Below are 20,216 nucleotides of genomic sequence, written 5' to 3' on the forward strand. Positions count from 1 at the left end.
GCTGCAGTGTGTTATGATCATGCCTGTGAATAGCCACTGCACTCCAACATAGGTAACATAGCAAGCCCCATCCATAAAATAAAATAAAATAAAATAAAATAAAGGCAACAAAAAATAACAAGTATTGGTAAGGATGTGGAGAAATTGGAACCCTCGTGCATTGCTGGTGGGTGTGTAAAAAGGTATGGCTGCTGTGAAAAATGGGATGGCTATTCTTCAAAAAATTAACCACAGAATTACTATATGATCCAGCAATCCCACTTCTGCATACACATCCAAAAGAAGTGGACTCAAGGACTCAGACAGATATTTGTACCCCCCTGTTCATAGCAGCATTATTTACAATAGCCAAAAAGTAGAAGCAACCACAGATTCATCAATGTATGAATGGATAAACAAAATGTGGCATATACACATAGTGGGATATCATTCAGCTTTAAAAAGGGAGGAAATTCTAACACATGCCACAACATGGATAAACCTAGAAGACATTGTGCTAAGTGAAATAAGTCAGTCACAAAAGCACAAATACGTTGTGATTCTATTTACATGAAGTACCAGAGTTGTCAAATTTATAGAGACAGAAAGTAGAATGGTCGTTGCCAGGGGCTGAGGAGTTAGTATTCTACTGGATGCAGTTTCAGTGGGGTAGATAAAAAATTCTGGAGGTGGATGGTGGTGATGGTTGTGCAACAATGTGACTGTACTTAATGCCACTGAACTGTACATTTAAAAATGTTTAAAATGGTACATTTTATGTTGTGTGTATTTTAGCACAATGAAAACAGCTATAAAAGGCATTCTTGAAACAACCGAGGATATCTGATATTCTGAAATTATTATTACTTTTCTTAGGTGTAATAATAGTATTGTGGTTATATCTATACATTATATAAAAACAGGATAATGTCCTTATTCCTAGGAGATGCCTTCTGAAGTATTTGGAGATAAAGTGCTCTGATATCTATGACTTTCAAATGGTTTGGAACACTTAAAGACAGAAAAACAAAAACATTGCACACACACCACACATACAGATAAGCAAATGTGGCAAAAGATGAACAACTGGTGAATTAGGAATGGGGTAAACAGGTATTAATTGTTTCATTCTTATAATGTTTTCTGTCTCCTTGAAAATGTTTATAGAAAACATGGGGCCAAGAAAGGAGGAGGCCAGGAGACTTCAGGAAATGGTCAAATCATGTCCCCAAGCAGGGGACATAGTCTTCTCTGTCTTCTCCATAAAGTTCCTAAGGATGATCCATACATGTACAGGGAGCAATGACAAAGGAAAGGAGCTCTTAATTGAGCTTGTGTCTGAAAGCTAAGTGCCTCTCTTTGTTGAGTGGCCTAGGCCAGAGGCTTACATGTGCCTCTCTTTCCCCCCAAGCAAAGCCCAAGTTAGGAGACTTTCTTCATGGGACAGATCCCAAAAGTGATAAAAGTACCACAGCAAGCATGAGAGAAGAGAACTGAGAATCAGACAGCATCTTCAACAATGCAGAGGAAGGACACCACCTTTTACTAAGTGATGCCCACTCAGTGTGAGAAATCTCTCCATCAAGTTGAGGTACAGAGTAAGGGGCACGGGGAGAAGGGAAGATGACTTGAGTTTCTTCTTTTCCCAGAGGTAAAGGGTAGATGGATTGAAGCCCTTAGAGAGTGATTATGAGAAGGCCACCCTCCCACCCCTGTAAGTATTTCTAGCACTGCCATAAATGATGTGAAGGCCATTGTTTTTAGAGGAGCTGCAAAAAGGAGAAGCTCCAATTGGAGAAGTCAGTATCTGGTAAAGCAGTACTGTTGCTGACCTCTCTAAGGCTGTGTCCAGCAACCAAGACCTCCAGTAGAAGGGGAGGTGTTGTGAGCCATAATAAAATGCTTAGGCATTCAGAGGGAAAATTATAAGCACCAACGATGACTTTCATTAACAGCCAAAGAATCACATGATGTAAAATTGAAAGAAGCGCAGCTTACCTGGTGGAATCATCTACTATCTTTCCTTCTCTTTAACTCATTTTTTTATAACCTGACAAAACAGAGGTTCAGATCATAGGCATAATTCAGGTCCTGTAATTTGGAGTATTATGGAGGCAAAGTAACTGAGATTGCTTTGGCATAAATTATTGGCATTATCACTCCAATTTAACCACTCTGTAAACATTTTATAATATAGATGAGCTCAGGGAAGGGCCAGGGTAGAGATGAGATTTGGGGATAAGGGAACAGATCCTTGAAGCAAAGCAGGAGACCTCTGACTTCCAACTTAACTGGACGTTGGATGAGAGTCTCATGCTGAACCAGCAGAAACTGAGCCACTTACAACTCTGCTTGAAGCTTCTCCTAAACTCTGGTATTTTGCCAACTTCCTGAAATAATCAAACCATCCTTGGCACACAGTTAAAACTACTTCCTTTGATGCCTCACTGTATCTTTTTGTAAAGGTTTAGAAAAGAGGCAATGCCTTTAGCTGAATAGTTGTTTGTTTCAGAGGATATTGACTTACTGCATCTGATCAGGAATTAGTTTATCCTATATTCCTATTACCACTCCTTGCAATAACCTAGTGTCAAGTGACTTGGCATGGTGAGGGAGTGAGGCAGTTGTAAGTATATATTTTAAAAACAGACTTTGTCCCTGCCCTTGGATTCTGATGTATCCCATGGAGTCTCTAAGGGAATATGGCTTCTCCAATACTTTCTCAAACAGCTGTTGAGAATCGTCCTTTGTAGTGAGAAATATTACTGATGTGGAGCCAGGAAAAAGTATGATAGCCACGGCAGTAGGGGGTGGTTGTGTGTGTCCTCAGCTCAGTTATCTTCTTAGCATGGGACTGTGAACTCAAGCTCATGTGCAACACAACCCTGCACCTCAAAAATACCTGGGACAGTTGCTCAGTGAGTAGTGGTACGTTTAACTTCCTTCCAATTTGGTTTTTCCCATCTGGAAATATGGAGCTAGTGTGAGAAACACTGAATACATATCCCTCAGGCTGCCTTGCCATTTCAGTGTCTTCCAGACATCTTCCATCTGCCAGGATTTGCATCTTGGTGCTTGAGAACTTTACCTGGAACCCTCGAGGGTCATGGGCCTTAAAACACATGACAGTTCAGAAACACTGGAAAATTAACTGCCCTATCCCCCAGGAGCATCTGTCAACCAATGAATGGTGGGAGATGATGTATAAATATCCCAACGATGTTATCCCTTGGGTGGAATAATTCTGAGGTGTGTGTCTTAGACAGTTTCTCAGAGTTTCTCTGCAGGATTAAGCTATAGTTGTCCTCTGTAGTTGGCTTAATAATCCACTTTTTATTGGCTGTCTTCCTTTCCCTGACTCACTTCCTCACTCACTTGCTGGTATTTCCCTGGATTATCTCCCAAATAAACCACTTGTTCTAAAATCCTTGTTTCAAGGTCGGCTTCTGGAAGACCCCAAACTAAGACGATTCTCCAGTATAAGTTAGCATCATTAAACACACATTGCTGGAGAGCTGCTAAAGGAGAGAGATACTTCCTCCTCTTCTTACTTCTTCCTCCTCACATCCAAGGCAGTGGGGCTTGTGCCAAGATTTGTGAGCTGTGCTGGATGCTGGATGTGCTCTCCTCCACATAATATCTGCTCTGTGAAGACAGACCTTAGGGAGGCTTTTCCTCTTTATTGTACTTCAGGCACCATACTCATCACATGACCCAGCAATTGCCTGGGCTTTGCAGGCTCCAGATGGTCTTCCCACATGTTAACCCTCACAACAACCCCAAAGATAGGTCTTATAGATCCCTATTTAGTAGGTAAGGAAACGAAAGTTCCAGTGTTTTCCCAGGATCACTTGGTGGTACATCCCTGCAGGCCAACTGGAACTTGAAGCAAGCGACACAAGCTGGAGACTCTTATTTTCTCTACAGGACTGAAGTTTCAGTAAAGAGTCAGTTAACACAGTGGATTTTTCTAAGACTTTGGGGTTTGAAAGATCACTGGACTGGGCCAGAAAAGAGGAAGCAGAAAACATATCAATTCTTAGAGTGTGATATGTGAGATTCTTCCAAATGCTCTGTGGTCTGGTTCCATTGCCCCACAGAAGGTAGATGGCAGCTTGGATAAGATCAGGCCTTCCAAAGCAGACTCAGGGTTGGAATTTTTGCTCCATCATTTACCAGCCACGCTACTTGGGTTAAATTACTTAAACAGTCTGAACCTTAGCTTCTTCATCTGTAAAACAGAGATAATAATAATATTTCTCACAGGGCCACTGTGAGGATAAAATTAGATAATGTACCCAAATCTCTTCACACAGAAAAGCCTTCCCCTGGTGGATCTCTCATGTACCCCCTGGATTTTCTAGGAGAGTGTGGCTTCTCCAATACCTTCTCGAACAGCTATTGAGAATCACTGCTTGTAATGAGAAATATTACGAATGTGGAGCCAGAAAAAGTCTGACAGCCTTTGCAGCAGGGGGATGAGGAGGAGGTGGTTGTGTGTGTCCTCAGCTCAGTGGTAGGTGCTGGGCATGTGGTAGGAATGAAAAAGAAAAGGTAGCTATTATTAGTAGAATAGTATCTATAACTTTTATTTTTTGGCACAAATTAACAATTTAACAAAAACCAGACATTATTTTTGTTGGTGCTTTACCGGAAACATTGCTGTTTTCTAATGACTTCTGGTAGTAGTTTGTCATTATTTTTTATTTTAGGTTTTATTTTGTGTAAAAGGACTAAGTGAGATGGGTGTTTGCAATTTTTTTCTTTCCAACTGACTAGCTAGTCAATGCTCCTTTGGACCCCAGCCCACCGCCCTGAAAAAAAGGAAAAAGAACAAATTGAGAACTTATGAAACCACAACCCAGAAACCTGAATGTTTTTCATTTTAACTTTTCTTGGAAAAATTTGATGAAAAGCCTGTGCTGTGGTTTTAAACGGCATTGGGATGCCCGTCTCCTGTCCTTACCCCTAAGCTTCTGAACGTGATTTATATTTCCCTATTTTAAGCTAGTGCAGATTTATGAGACTTTAAACACCATGGTTGGAGTTACTGGAGGTTTAAAGAGATTAAGCAGGTCCAGTAGCACCTGGAGGTGTATAAGTTGTTTAAAAGATTTATCGGCATTCCCATGTTAAAATTCACTTCTCAAGGATTCTCATATCCTGGATCTGAATCTATTTTGGGCAGAGGAGTAAATTTTTAGGATGTTTCATAAATGGAGGAAAAAACCCATCCCTCTATCGCTTCTTGCTTTGTTTTTTGGGCTGTGCCTCTGCCCCCTCACCTCTCTATCTTGCATGTCTAGCTAGTTCTGTCTCTGGGGTTTCCCTTCTCTCTGTTCCTGTCCTCTCTCAAGCGGTTGATCTCTTAGTGTTTCTCTGTGTTCACAAACTCAGCCTTTGACCCAGGAACCTAACAACAGCCAGAGGGAGCCTGAAGCTTTCTTGCCTGCCCTTGGCTCCTTGTGGTCCAGGGAGGGCTGCGGTGGTGGGAATGCCTGACACAGGGTAAAAAATCTCTGTGTTTACACCAGGGGGAGCAATGACTCCGTGGCTGAGAGGGGCTGGCTAGAGTCTGGAGTTTCCAAATGTCCATTCAAAGCAAGACACAATTCCTAGGTAGTTAAATTTAGGAGACTCTGTATTGAATGACCTTGAAAATAGGTTCAGGGCACAACATGGGCACACCGCTTTGTCATATTCTACAAATACTGGGGAGAGCCAACATTCTTCTCATTGCCAATAATTATGCTCATCAGCCTCCACGTCTTGCCTCTCACGTTTCTTCCATGTCCCAGCTCTGCCCACCCTGTCAAATCAGTGTGGATGTAGGGAACATGAACACATTTTAATATCAGCCTAAACCAGACATCACTGGGAAGGAAATTGGAGAAACCATTCCAAAGTCAAGTAAAAATAGCTTGTGAATATGTACTCCATGGTTCCATTTATGTGAAACCCTACAAAAGACAAATCTAATCTACAGTGACAGAAAGCAGACTGGTGGTTGCTTGGGACTAAGGTGGGGGCAGATTGGCTGAGATGGCACAAGAAAACTTTTTGTGATGTTGAAAGTATGCTATGCCTTGATTGTAGTGATGGTCGGACAGTTATATAAAGTTGTAAACACTCACTAAAATGTACAATGAAAATGAGTGTGAACTATACCTTGGTTTTTAAATGTCTCTGTTGTACATTCACACCAGCCTTTACCTCCATTAGCATAGACAATAGGAAGCTGTGTGTGAATCTTAGAATGCTCCCCAATCCAGGAGTGGTTGTTCAACCAGCCTATGCTGTGTGTCTATAGAGGGCACGGATAATCCAAAGCAGCAGATGAAACACCTAATTAGTTCTAATTGACTCTGGACTTTTTCTGTGCATTTGCCTTCCCTGAGTACAACCTGACTGACAGGAGCGGGGAGAGTAGGCAGCCAAGAAATGTGGCAGGGGAGGCCAGATTAAACAATTACAAGGGAGGGACAACAAAAGGGTGACTGACCACGCAGATGATAAAGAATTGTTGACTTTGTAATGTGAACTCATATTGTGCAAAGCAATTGGTGAGGTGGAGCAGATGTGCATTAGAAACGAAACCAACCACCCGGAATGGTCATGGTCTCTGGATAACAGGGGAGCTTCATCGACTCCATCTTTTCCACATCTCTAATTAAAATTTTGATATTACTTAAGTCAGGCACACTGCTCTATTCATTCCGACATCTGAATATCCATTTTAAAGTGGGCTAGGCTCACCCAGAGGATGATATAACTAGATTAAGAGATGGTGTGAGGGTTTAGAACATTGGATTTTTTGTCCCTGTTTGTGTGACCTTCTGGAAAATCTCTTGTTTCATTTATTTTTTTCTTTATTCCCTTATTCAATAAAATTATTGAGCACCTATTATAAACCAGGCTGTTTGCCAGACATTGTTGACATATTGCTATAGGCGTCATTTTCCTCATTTGTAAATGCTCATTCTGGGATCCCTTGACTATCCTGACCACTGTGCTAATGGTAGGTAGTGATGAGGTCAGGCTCTGAGACCTTCAATGCTGTGCCTCAATGTTGAGGCTGCCTCAATATAAAAGATAAGACTCTCCAACTTCCTTGGTCTCTATCTTTTTAAAGAGTGGCTCCAGATCACTGAAAGCATCTTTGTCATAAAAATTCCATGGAAATGAAATTAAGCATTTTAGTTTTATTTGTTGAAAATCTGTCCTTTAAAAACCTCCTGAGACCATTTTAAAGTTAATTTCTTATTGCTTCAAAGAACAAACTCACATATAGGTATGAACTAACATTTGATCTAGCGCAAGGCAGTAAACTAGGGTTTTTGTCAGGCCTTTCTCCCTGATTTGCAGTGTTCCCTGGCACACCCACCCCCTCACTAAGCAAAATTTAGAAGTCAACAGACACAAAATTACTTCTCCCTTGAAATCTTCCTCACACTTATTTTCAAGCGTCCAAGAGATACAAGCTCTTTTCAAGCATACAAGATCTGTTCCCTTCCAGGTCATCAAGTCAACTCTCAGAAAAGAGTCTGATAGAGTGAGATTCAATTTCTACTCTGTCCATTTATAATGTGTGACCCAGGGAAAGTTCCCTAACTTCTTTGCCCTGCAGTTTCTTCATCTGGAAGTGAGGATAACAATATCTACTTTGAGTTGTTGTCCAGTTTAAATAAAATAATGGATGCAAAAATGCCCAGCCAATAGTAGAAAATCAATGGAAGTTGTTATGAAAGCCTAGCAGAGGTGAAGGCTGGAGATTAGCGAGAAAAGTTCTGCCACAGAGTGAGAAATACTCCATGAGGAACCAGGACCTTCAGTCTTTGTTGAGTAGGTGGCTCCTATGGAAGGATAGGATCTTCAGATTATTAAGCTCAGAAGTATGTATTATCTATCTGGGAGGACTGGCATTCTAAAAGGGGAAATAGGTCATCCAGATGCCAAAAATGGGAGGGCCCAGAACCCAGCTATAGGAAGAGTGAATATGGAAGAAAATGATGAAGAAAAAGTCAGCTCCAGCAAGCTGTGGTGGCCATAACAGCAGATGCCACCATCAGATTACCTCCACATTCCCCCAGGAAAAGTTGACATTTCCTGGTCCTTTCCAAAGAAGCTGCAGTCCCACCAACAGGTCAAAATTAGTATCACAAAGAGGGCTGAGAACCTGAAGATGGAGCATGTCTGCTGATCTGAGAACAACAGACAACCGGCTCCAGCTGTGATTAAAGTTGGTTGGAATTCACAGCTGGTAGAACAATGACCACATTAATGAACTGAACTTCGGCTTACCCTCCTGTTCCAAAGTTCTTCTTCTTCCCTCCACACACACAGCCAACTGTACTATGGAGATTTATGGTGTTAGCACCTGAAGAGTTGGATGGCCTTGATTGCTGTTAAATAAACTCTAACATGTATGATTTGAAAACACAGTTACAGGATGCAAACTTGCTAAGAACACCAAATAAGAACCAACTATATTGTAGAGCTCCACGTGGGCAGGGACAACATCTACATTTTTTACTACTTTATATCAAGCATCAAGCTCGGAGCTTCTTTGGTGTCCAACCATCCTGGTTTGCCTGGAGCTCTCCTAGCTTCAGCACTGAAAATTCCTGTGTCTCAGGAAATTGCTCAGTCACAGATAACCACGGATGGCTGGTCACCTGGACTTGGCACATAATAGATGGCCAATAAATTTTTGTCAACCAAAAGAAATGCATTAAATAAGTAGTATAAGTGTAACTGGAATTACAATGTAATAAGTTATATTAACTACTTTTGATACAAATCAGCCTCTAATAGATACCGGTTTGAAGTTGAGTTTGATGAAACCAGCATACTAGTTTGATGATATATAGACCAGTTTTGGACTTCTATACATTCTCATTTCTGTCCCTTCTTTTGACCTTACTGTGTATGTCTGGGCAATTAGTCAGCAGCAGGGCCACACAGTTTCGAACTGTCAAAACATGGTCAAACATGACTAGGATTTCTAAAGTTTATTTTCCTAATTATTTACTTTCCCATCCCACCTACATAGAAGCCAGGTGTTTTAATATGATCCATAGCATACACTTGGGAAAGAAGGAACATTTGTGCAGTCTAAGAAATTCAACAATCCTTTACTGAGTGACTGCTCTGGGCACTGTGCTGGGGGCTGCAGGGCATTCAAAATGAGTGAAAAAGGATCCTTGCCCTTAGTAGCTCTCAGTCTAGGGATAGGATGTATGAATAAACAGACATGAATATTTATGATATGAAGCATATTGGTATACTATTTTAATGATTTTAGTTGTGCCCTGTATGACTACAAGAGAGAGGGAGGTTGATTTTGAGGCATTGTGGAATGTCCACCTGAAAGAGGTAGGATTTAAGGTGGGCTTTGAAGAAAGTACAGGACTTCAAAAGTTGGCTATTGGGTGGGGAGAATTTCTTTCCAGGTAGAAGGGAAAGTAAGGGCATGGGAATTAGTTGCATTAGGCCACTCACTACATAAACCTGACTAAAGGGACTTAACTAAACAGAGACGTATACAAGAAGCCCAAGGCTAATGCAGAACTTCAATGAGCCATCAATGCCCTAGGCTTCTTTTCTCTTTCTGCTCCACCATCCTTAGCTTGTGGCTTTGTTGATCTGTGTTCCCAAGATGGTTGCTCCACCTCAAGCCTTATGTTGTGCACAAGGCAGGAAAAAGGAGAAAGAAAAAGGGATAGGAAAGAAAGTGAAGAAGGAAAGAAAGGAAGGAAGGGTGGGGAGAAGGTGGAGCCTGTTATGAGAAGGGCAAAAATTTTCCCCAAATCCCTAGCAGACGTTTTCTTCATTTGTATTTCATGATAAGAAACAGGTTACATGGCCACCCCTAGCTGCAAAGGAGTCTGGGCAGGTGAACATCGTAGCTGGACATATTGCCCTCCTGAATATTATTATAGTTCTGTTAGTAACAAGGCGGGGCAGAATGGATTTAGGGTAGGTACCTAGCAGGGTCTGTGCCTTTGAGCAGAAGCCTAGAGATGAGGACAGGGCAAGGATTGCTGGATAAATGAGAGAATTAAGAGCAGAATCTTGTGCCTGGAATGAAGCAGGTGTGTGTGTGTGTGTGTGTGTGTGTGTGTGTGTGTGTGTGTGTGTGTGTGTTGAGGAGGGGGCAGGACAAGATGGGATAGGATGGGATAGCTTTACAGGTGTGGGTAGAAGTCATCTGAAGAAAATAGTGGGAAAACAGGTGCCAAATGCTGGAGATATGTGGCTTTAACCTGTCTCTTTAATTTCTCTGCAAAAGCTCCAGATCAGCCTGTTTCATGCTTCATGGGATAGTGTTCATCCTTTACTCCCATCTGCTTCCCTCCTCAGTCTCATGTTATCAAGAACCTTGGATAGGCTGGGTGTGGTGGCTCATGCCTGTATCCCAGCACTTTGGGAGGTTAAGGCAGGAGGATCGCTTGAGCCCAGGGGTTTGAGATCAGCCTAGGCAACATAGGGAGACCCTGTTTCTACAGGGGCCGGTGGGGGGAAAGAACTTTGGATAGTTGTATTAAAAATGCCACTTTCAAACCTGTACCTTTATGTCAGTATCAGAACATGACAGAAACACAGCTTTTTCTTTCTCTCAAATTTACCTCTTATCTATATTTCAATTTTGCATTATTATTTATATATTATACTGATTGACTCTTTTATTTTCCTTGGGTACTATATAATATCAACCTTTCAGCATGAAACAATTGTGATTTTAGCTTTATTAACTAATAATCAGGAGAAAAAATATACAGAAACATAATGCTAATCAGAAGTATACATATATATTTTTCTATATATTTCTGATTAGTATTTATGAATCTAAAATCATATTTTACACACAGACATACTCCCTCCTCCCCTAAATATATTTTCCATCTATAGCAGTATTTTTTTTTTCTGGATAGACATTGAGACCTTATTTTATTGTCAATATAGTAGTTTTTTTTTTTTATTATACTTTAAGTTCTGGGATACACGTGCAGAACGTGCAGGTTTGTTACATAGGTATACACGTGCCATGGTGGCTTGTTGCACCCATCAACCCGTCATCTAATGCTATCCCTCCCCTCGCCCCCCCAACCCCTGACAGGCCCTGGTGTGTGATGTTCCCCTCCCTGTGTCCATGTGTTCTCATTGTTCAACTCCCACTTATGAGTGAGAACATGTGGTGTTTGGTTTTCTGTTCCTGTGTCAGTTTACTGAAAATGATAGTTTCCAGCCTCATCCATGTCCAAGCAAAGGACAGGAACTTATCTTTTTTATGGCTGCATAGTATTCCATGGTGTATATGTGCCACGTTTTCTTTATCCAGTCTATCTTTGATGGGCATTCGGGTTGGTTCCAAGTCTTTATAGCAGTCTTTTTGAGAGTCAGACTTGTTCTTTAGCTTGGCAATTTCTTTTGTATCTTGGAGTGATTTTACTTTGGTCACTGTCTAAGCTACAGCTCTCTGATTAATTTTACCATTGCTTGGCTCCAGTTTTGGTTTCTTTCAGGGTAATAGTTTCTGAAGAAAACAACCATTCTGAAGAGTAGTTGAAGAACCACAGAGAGCCTGTCAGTATTAGGGGAAGTTATAAGGTTGTTATTACTCTAAGTCAGGGGTCAGCAAACATTTTTTTAAAGTGCCAGATAGTAAATATTTTTTACTTTGTAGGCCAAATGGTCTTTGTTGCAACTACTTGACTCTGCCCTTGTAACACAAAAGTAGCCATAAACACTAAGTAAATGAATGCGCACAGCTTTGTTCTCATACAACTTTACTTACAAGTCCCCTGCTCTAAGTGAACAGCAGAAAGAGATTCTTTCCCTTGAGCATGCTCTTTGTCTGTGTTTCTTCTTTTTGTCTTCATATCACCATCTTTCCTCCACGCTTGTCTTTATTCCTTTTTCATCATAACTTCCCTGTTTCTCACTTTCTTTTTCACATCTTGGTCCTTTCTTGTCACTTGCTGCATGACACGTCCTTCAGGATGCCTGGCAGATCCTCCTAGTCTCGTGGGATGACTTCAGAAAGGAAACCTCACTCCTCCTTGGGGCCACTTGGTGACAGAGAGTTTCCTGGGATGACTGGATTGTGTGTCTGGCCACTTCTTGAGTACACCTAACTCTTTGTGGGTAGCTTAAGATATGTTTTAGTTTATTAGCTGCATCATTCCTCTCGCTTCCTGGGACCTGCATCTCTGAGATGACTAAGGGGGTCTTTCTTTTAAAATGCCAGTGGAAACTGAGGCGTATTTGAGTGTTCTTTAGTTTGTTGAGTTCTCCCATCTCTTCCGAATAGGTGAAGGCTGACAGGGAACATGAGTGTGGCGTCTGTAAGGGCAACTTCCTGAGGATCTGTAGGAAATTGACATGATTTTACCTCCTGGAGATTTCCTCATTCAGGCAGGTTTTTGGTCACCACATGCTTCCCCCAAAGACAGGATGAGAGTGAATGGGCTTCCACTGCAGCAGGAAAGATTAAGAGTAGAGGTCAGGAAGAACTTTGGGGCTGTCACAACTGTATATCAAGCAAGGCCAAGACCAGGGGATGTTTTGGCATTCCCTTGGAATTGTTAAAAGAAGAGGACAGATTATTTCCTGTCCTCACTCTAAACAGAAAATAGTGTGACAAAGGAAACAGCTTTCTGTTAGAAATTTCCTGTGCAGTATGGACTGAGGGCTGGGAATCAAGATTTGAGACCCAAATATCTTCCACCAGCTTCCTCTATGCAGATCACCCTTCAGGGTGCCAGCTGCTCACTTCAGCAGGGAAGACACCCACCCTTCCACGATCTGAGTGATGCTGATATTCTTCTGGCTTCAGAATTCTCTATTCCTTTCTTTTTCTCTCTGCTGTGTCTTTCCCTCAGCTTTTTAGCTATGCACAGCTGCTCCATTTTGAAAACAACAGAAAAAAATAAACATTTGGAAACTTGATCATCCTGTCTAGCTACTGTCTTCTTTTCTTTCTTTCTTTCTTTTTTTTTTTTTTTTTTTTTTTTTTTTTTGAGAAGGAGTCTCGCTCTGTCGCCCAGGCTAGAGTGCAGTGGCGCGATCTCGGCTTACTACAAGCTCCGCCTCCCTGGTTCACGCCATTCTGCCTCAGCCTCCCCAGTAGCTGGGATTACAGGCACACACTACCACGCCTGGCTAATTTTTGTTGTATTTTTTAGTAGAGACAGGGTTTCACCATGTTAGCCAGGATGGTCTCAATCTTCTGAACGTGTGATCCGCCCGCTTCGGCCTCCCAAAGTGCTGGGATTACAGGCGTGAGCCACCGCGCCCGGCCCTTCTTTTCTTTTTCACTGCTCACTCTTCATGAAAAGATAATTCCTCTTTGCTGCTTCCATCCCCTCACCACACACTGGCCCCTGTCCTGCCTGTGGTACGGTTCTATCCTTTGCTTTGCTCCCTCACCACACACTGTCTCCTATAACCCAGTTCTATGCTCCTCTTTCTCTACTGAAGCTCGCTTAAAACCTGCCACTTACCCAAATTCTGTCTCCATGTCTTAATCCTCTCTGCCCCTTACTTCCCTGTGGCATCTGACCTGTTTGACCCCTGTCTCACTCCTAACACCCTTTCCCCTAGTCTACATGGCCGACATATTCCTGTGACTTGTCTCTCTGGCCTATTGTTTCTTTCAGTCATTGGCTTCACTTCCCCACTTTGCCTGGCCAGTTGGCAAGCTGTTGTAGAAATTCAAGACCATAGAGCTGAAGGCTGGGCTAGGATGGCATTAGAGGGAAAAGAGGGCAACGGATGTTCTCTCAAAGGAAAACACAGGATTAATGATAGCATGGATGCAGGAAGTGGAGGAAGGGGAGGAACCCCAGAAGTCTTTCAGATTCTAGTCTGTGAAATTAGAATAAAGAAGTCGGAAAAGTGGGGAGAGGTGCTGGTTCTAAGGCACGTTTGATTTGAGTAGAAAGCAGGATATACAGATAGATAATTTCATCCAAAGAGGAAAGTTAATGGAAGTGGATAGAAAATCTTTTATCTCATTCGTTCTTGGTGCTTCAACCAGCTCTTAGCTCCTTAATCAATATTCCCAGCTGCCAAGCCCTCTCTCAGCTGCTCTGCCAATTGGACATCACCATAGTAATTGGACATTACTAATTGCTGATTGGACATTACCACCTGGATGCCCATCATCACTTCAGACTCCTAACATAGGTGAGGAAATGTGTGTGATAGGGAAACACCATGGGAACCCGCCTAGGACTCATGAATTCTGGGGTCTGCTGTGGATCTTCAGGCAAGTCACTTTACTCTCTACTTTTCAATCTTCTTGTTGTTGAAATGAGGGGTTCGATTAAGTAATATTTTAATCACTTTCCTCATCTTTCCCCAGATTGTTTTCTCCTCTCTCTCTAGAGGAAAAATTTCTCCTTTAGAAGCCGATTTTTCCTGTTATGCCGTTGTTTTCTCTCGGTTACCTAGTGGTTCTTGGACTCCTGCTCACCCTGGCTCACTCTTTCCTGCCCACACCTGCTTCTCTCCATATATAAGGCATCAACACATGCTATTATGTTTCCTTTCTCATTGCCTTCCACAGCTTTCCATTTCAGTCACAGCCACAGCTTCGTTGAAGTACTTCTACACTATTCTTTGGACTCCGAACTCCTTCTTCCAGTCTCCTAGGCTCATCTACCTTCTGAAAACACTTCTTCCATCTTATCCCATCCTGTCCCTTCCTTCCTTTAAATCTCTGAGTAGGGGCGGAGCAAAGGGGGTGTATGTCAAGATGCCTTGGGAGCTGTTTCTAAATACATAGACCTGAACATAGCTCTTCCTTCCTCCACTCTGGCATTCTTATGCATCATGGGAAAAAGTTTCTCCAGCTGATGATTTTCTCCCTGTCTCTCTCTCTCACATCATTGTAAAGAATCCACATTATGAAAATTTAAATATTTTATGGACTATAAAAGTCCCCTCAAGATAACTGGTATTTCCTTGTAAGCACATGTAGCTTTATCCCATTTACTTAAAAAATTGATTTTTAAAACAGTTTTATTGTGGTATAATTGACATTTGACAAATTGCATGTATTTAAAGTGTGCAATTTGATCAGTTTTGACATAAGCATACAGCCATAAAAGCCATCACTGCAGTCAAGAACATATCCATCGCCTCCAAAAGTTATGCCGTTCCCATTTATAACTCCCCTCTCTCTCCCTTCAGCTCCCAGTCTCCGACTCTGGTCATCTCCAGACAATCACTGATCTGCTTTCTGTCAGTATAGGTTACTTTGCATTTCCTAGAATTTTATAAAAATGGAATCACCTAGAATATACTCTCTGTTGTCTGACCTCTTTCACGCTCCATAATTATTCTGAGATTCATCCAAGTCCTGCATAGTATTCCATTGTATAGATATATCACAATTTGTTTATCTGATTGCTTGTTGATGGATTTTTGGATCACTTCCTGGTGTTGGCTATTATAAATGAAGTTGCTATGAACATTTGTGTGCAAATCTTTACATGGATATATGCTTTTATTTTTCTTGGGTAAATACCAAGAGTGGAATGACTGTGTCACATGGTAAGTGTATGTTTACCTAGTTAAGAAACTGCCAAACTGTTTTTTGAAGTAATTGTACCATTTTGCATTCGAAGTGTAAGAGAGTTCCGTTTTTGCATCCTCTCCTCATCCTCACCAGCACTTGATATGTTCAGGCGTTTTAATTTTAGACATTCCAATAAATCATCACATCTCATTGAGCTTTTAGTTTGCATTTTCCTCATGACTAATAGTATTGAGCATTATCTCAAATGCTTATTGCTGTCTGTATATCTCTAAAGTGAGTGTCTAGTCAAATCTTTTGCCCAATTTTAAAAGTTGGGTTGTTTGTTTTCTTATCATGAAGGTCTGAGAGTTGTTTATATATTCTGGACACAGAGAGATGGCAGTGTGAGACTGATTTGGCTCATCATTGTTGGTTTGGAGATGGAGGAAGGGAGACACAAGCTAAAAAATGCGGGTGTCCTCTAAAAGCTAGAAAAAGTAAAGAAGTGGATTCTCCCCTAGATCCTCCAGAAATGACACATCCCTGCTAACATCTTGATTTTTGCCCAGTGGGACTCATTTCAGACATCTGACTTCTAGAGCTGTAAGGTAATAAAATTGTGTGGTTTTTTTTTTTTTTTTTTTTTTTTTTTTGAGACGGAGTCTCGTTCTGTCGCCCAGGCGGGAGTGCTGTGGCGCGATCTCCGCTCACTGCAAGCTCCGCCTTCCGGGTTCACGCCATTCTCCTGCCTCAGCCTCCCGAGTAGCTGGGACTACAGGCGCCCGCCACTGCGCCCGGCTAATTTTTTGTATTTTTAGTAGAGACGGGGTTTCACCGTGGTCTCGATCTCCTGACCTCGTGATCCGCCCGCCTTGGCCTCCCAAAGTGCTGGGATTACAGGCGTGAGCCACCGAGCCCGGCCAATTGTGTGGTTTTAAGCTACGAAGTTTGTGGTAAATTTTTACAGCAGTCATAGAAAACTAATACAGATTTTTCAATTGTTCAAGCACCATTTGTAAAGACTACCATTTTTATACTGAATTCCCTTTGATTTTTTTTATAATTGAAAATCAACAATAGCAATTGATGATATACATATGGGTCTGTTTCTGGACCCCATTCTAGTCCATCAATCTATTTGTCTATCTTTACACCAATACCACATTGTCTGGATTACTATAGCCTCATAAATGTCTTGAAATTGGGTAGTGTAAGTCCTCCAACTCTCTTCTCTTTCGTTGTTTTGGCTTTTCTAGGTTCTGTTCATCAAATCAACTTATAAATTTCTACAAAAGAGCCTATTGGGATTTCATTGAATCTAAGATCAGTTTGGGAAAAATTAATGTCCTAAGGATTTTGAGTCTTTGCAAAATTCCATGACACAGTATTTCTCCCCATTTACTTAGATCTTCTTTAATTTCCTTCAGCAATGTATTTTATCTTTGAGTGTATGAGTCTTACATATTTTAAAAATCAGGCTAAGCCTTCAAATTTTTATTTCCATGCTACTATAGTGATGTTTTAAAATTTCAAGTTCTAAATCTTCATTGTTAGGTTATAGAAATACAATTTAATTTTTATATTGGTCTTATACTCTGAAATCTGGCTAAACTCGTTATTAGATCTACTAGTTTAAGAAATATATATTTCATGGAATTTTCTAAGTAGCAATCATACCATCTTTGAATACAGACAGTTTTACCTCTTCCTCTTCAATCTGGGTGCCTTTAATTTCTTTTTCTTATTGCACTGTACATCCAGTACATTGAATAGGGGTAAGAGTAGACATCTTACCTTCTTCTGATCTTAGGGAAAAAGCTTGCTGTTAACTATAGATTTTTGGTAGATGTCCTTTATTAAGTTAAGAGAGCCCCTTCTATTCCTAGTTTGCTGAGAGTTTTGTTCAGAAATGGATATTGGATTTTTGTCAAATTATTTTCCTGCATCTACTTAGATGATCACATGGTATCGCTTTTTTAAATTTAAATTTTATTTTATTTTTTGAGACATGATCTGACTTTCATGCCACCATGTCCGGCTACTTTTTGTATTTTTTGTAGAGATGGGTTATGCCATGTCGCCCAGGCTGGTTTCAGTCTCCTGGGATCAAGGGATTTGCCCACCTTGGTCTCCCAAAGTGCTAGGATTACGGGCGTAAGCCACCATACTCGGACTTGTATTGCTTTTTAAATATGGTATATTGGTTTCCTAGGGTTGCTGTAACGAAGTAGTGCAAACTGGGTAGCTTAAAATAATAGACATTTATTCTGTCACAGTTCTGAAGAGAAGAAGTCTGAAATCAAGTGTTAGAATGGCCATGCTCCCTCTGAGACTCTGGGGAGAATCTTTCTTTACCTCTTTCTAGCTTCTGGTGGTGGCTGTCAATTCTTGGTATTCTTTGCTGCTGCGTCACTCCAATCTCTGCCTCTGCCATTACATGGCATTTTTCCCTATGTGTCTCTGTCTTCTCTGTCTTCATATGGAATTTTTTTTTCTTCTTATCGGGACACCAGTCATATTGGATTAGGGTCCATCCTAGTGACCACATTCCAAATTTGATTATATCTGCAAACACCTTATTTCCAAATAAGGCCACTTTCACAGCTACCAGGGGTTAGGACTTTAACATACCTTTTTTGAGAATACAATTCAACCCATATCATGTGGTAAGTTACATTGAATAGTTTTCCAAATGTGAAACCAACCTTGTATATGTGGGATAAACCCACTTGGTTATGATGTATTATCCTTTTTATATATTGTAGATTTTATTTGCTAAAATTTTATTAAAAATTTTATTCCTAATAAATATTCCTAAGGAAGTAGTCTACATTTTTTTTCTTATATGGCCTTTGTTTAGTTTTGGCATCAGAGTAATGCTGGCCTCATAGAAGTAGTTGGGAAATATTTCCTCCTTTTCACTTTTCTGGAAGAGTTTTTGTGGAATTGATATTATTTCTTCCTTAAATGTTTCATAAATTTACCAAAAAACCCATGTGAATCTTGAGTTGTTTTGTGTGTGGGTGTGTGTGGGGAAAGCTTTTAAGCTACAAATTTAATTTCTATAGTAGATAAATAGCTATTTAAGTTAGCAATTTCTCCTTGAGTGAACTTTAGTAGTTTGTGTCCATCTTATGAAAGTTGTCAAATTTGTTGGCATAAAGTTGTTCATAATATTCCCTTATTATTATTTTTACATTTATAGAATTTGTAGTGATGTTACCTCTGTCATTCCTGCTAGCAGTAATTTGAGATTTTTCTCTTATTTTCTGATCAGTCTGGGTGGAGGTTTTTTTATTTTATTGATCTTAAAGAACCCACTTTAGTTTCATTGATTTTTTTCTTTTGTTTTCCTGCTATTTTATTGCCTTCTGCTCTGATCTTTTTTATTTCTGTTCTTCCACTTTGATTTCGTTTGCTCTTACAGTAGAATAGGAGCTTATTGATGGGAGATCTTTATTTTCAAAATAGGTATTTAGCACTATAAATGTCTTTCTGCTTCAGCTGCATCCCACAGATTTAGACTGCCTTAGCTGCATCCCACAGATTTTTATGTAATGTGTTTTCATTTTTATTCACTTTGAGATTCTTTCTAATATCCCCCTTTTAATTCTTTTTTTGGTGGGGGTGGCAGGGGACAAAGTCTCACTGTGTCACCCAGGCTAAAGTGCAGTGGCACAATCTTGGCTCACTGCAACCTCTGCTTCCTGGGTTCAAGTGATTCTCATGCCTCAGCCACCAGAGTAGCTGGGATTGCAGGCAAACGCTACCATGTCCGGCTAATTTTTGTATTTTTAGTAGAGATGGGTTTTGCCCTGTTGGTCAGTCTGGTCTTGAACTCCTGGCCTCAGGTGATCCCCTGGCCTCAGCCTCACAAAGTGTTAGAATTATAGGCATGAGCCATGGTGCCCAGCCCATCCTTTGAATTCTTAGTAGCTCATGTGTTATTTAGAAGTGTGTTATTTACTTTCCAAATATTTGGGAGGTTTTTCTAGATTCTTTTTGTTATTGATTTCTAGTTTAATTCTATTGTGGTCAGAGAACATACTCTGATTTTTTTTTAAAAACCAACTTAGGTATAATTTATGTACCTCTTTGCATGATTTTAATCCTTTTAAATTTATTGAGATTTGTTTTATGGCTTAGTGTATGGTTTATCTTGACAAATGCTACCTGTGCATTTGAAAAAATGTGTATCTGCTGTTATGGAGTGGAATATTCTATAAATGTCAGTTAGGTTAGGTTGGTTGATAACATTGTTCAAGTCTTCCATATCTTTACTGATGATCTGTCTCCTTATTCTATTAATTACTGCATTTTACAGATATTAAATTATCTGACTATAATTATAAATTTTTATATTTCTCCTTGCAATCCTATCAGTTTTGCTTCATGTACTTTGAAGCTATCTTATTAGGTGCAAACACTCTTAGGATTGTTACGTCTGCTTGATGAATTGAAATGTTCCTCTTTATCCCTGGTAATATTCTTTGCTTTGAAGTCTTCTTTGATATTAATATAGCCATGAACACTTAACATTTTAATAGAAGTTGCCAAATTTCCTCTCAAAAAAAGTTTGTGTCATTACATAAGGTGTTCCCCCTTTCTTGTCTATATCTTGAGATTTTGATATGACCCTTCCTCTAAACATGTAATGTTTCTTCTGAATTGTGATGAGCTAATGCCTTGCCAGGCCACTGGTTCTTTAGCT

The sequence above is a fragment of the Homo sapiens genome, chromosome 3, assembly GCF_000001405.40.
Source record: "Homo sapiens chromosome 3, GRCh38.p14 Primary Assembly".
NCBI classification, from domain to species: domain Eukaryota; kingdom Metazoa; phylum Chordata; class Mammalia; order Primates; family Hominidae; genus Homo; species Homo sapiens.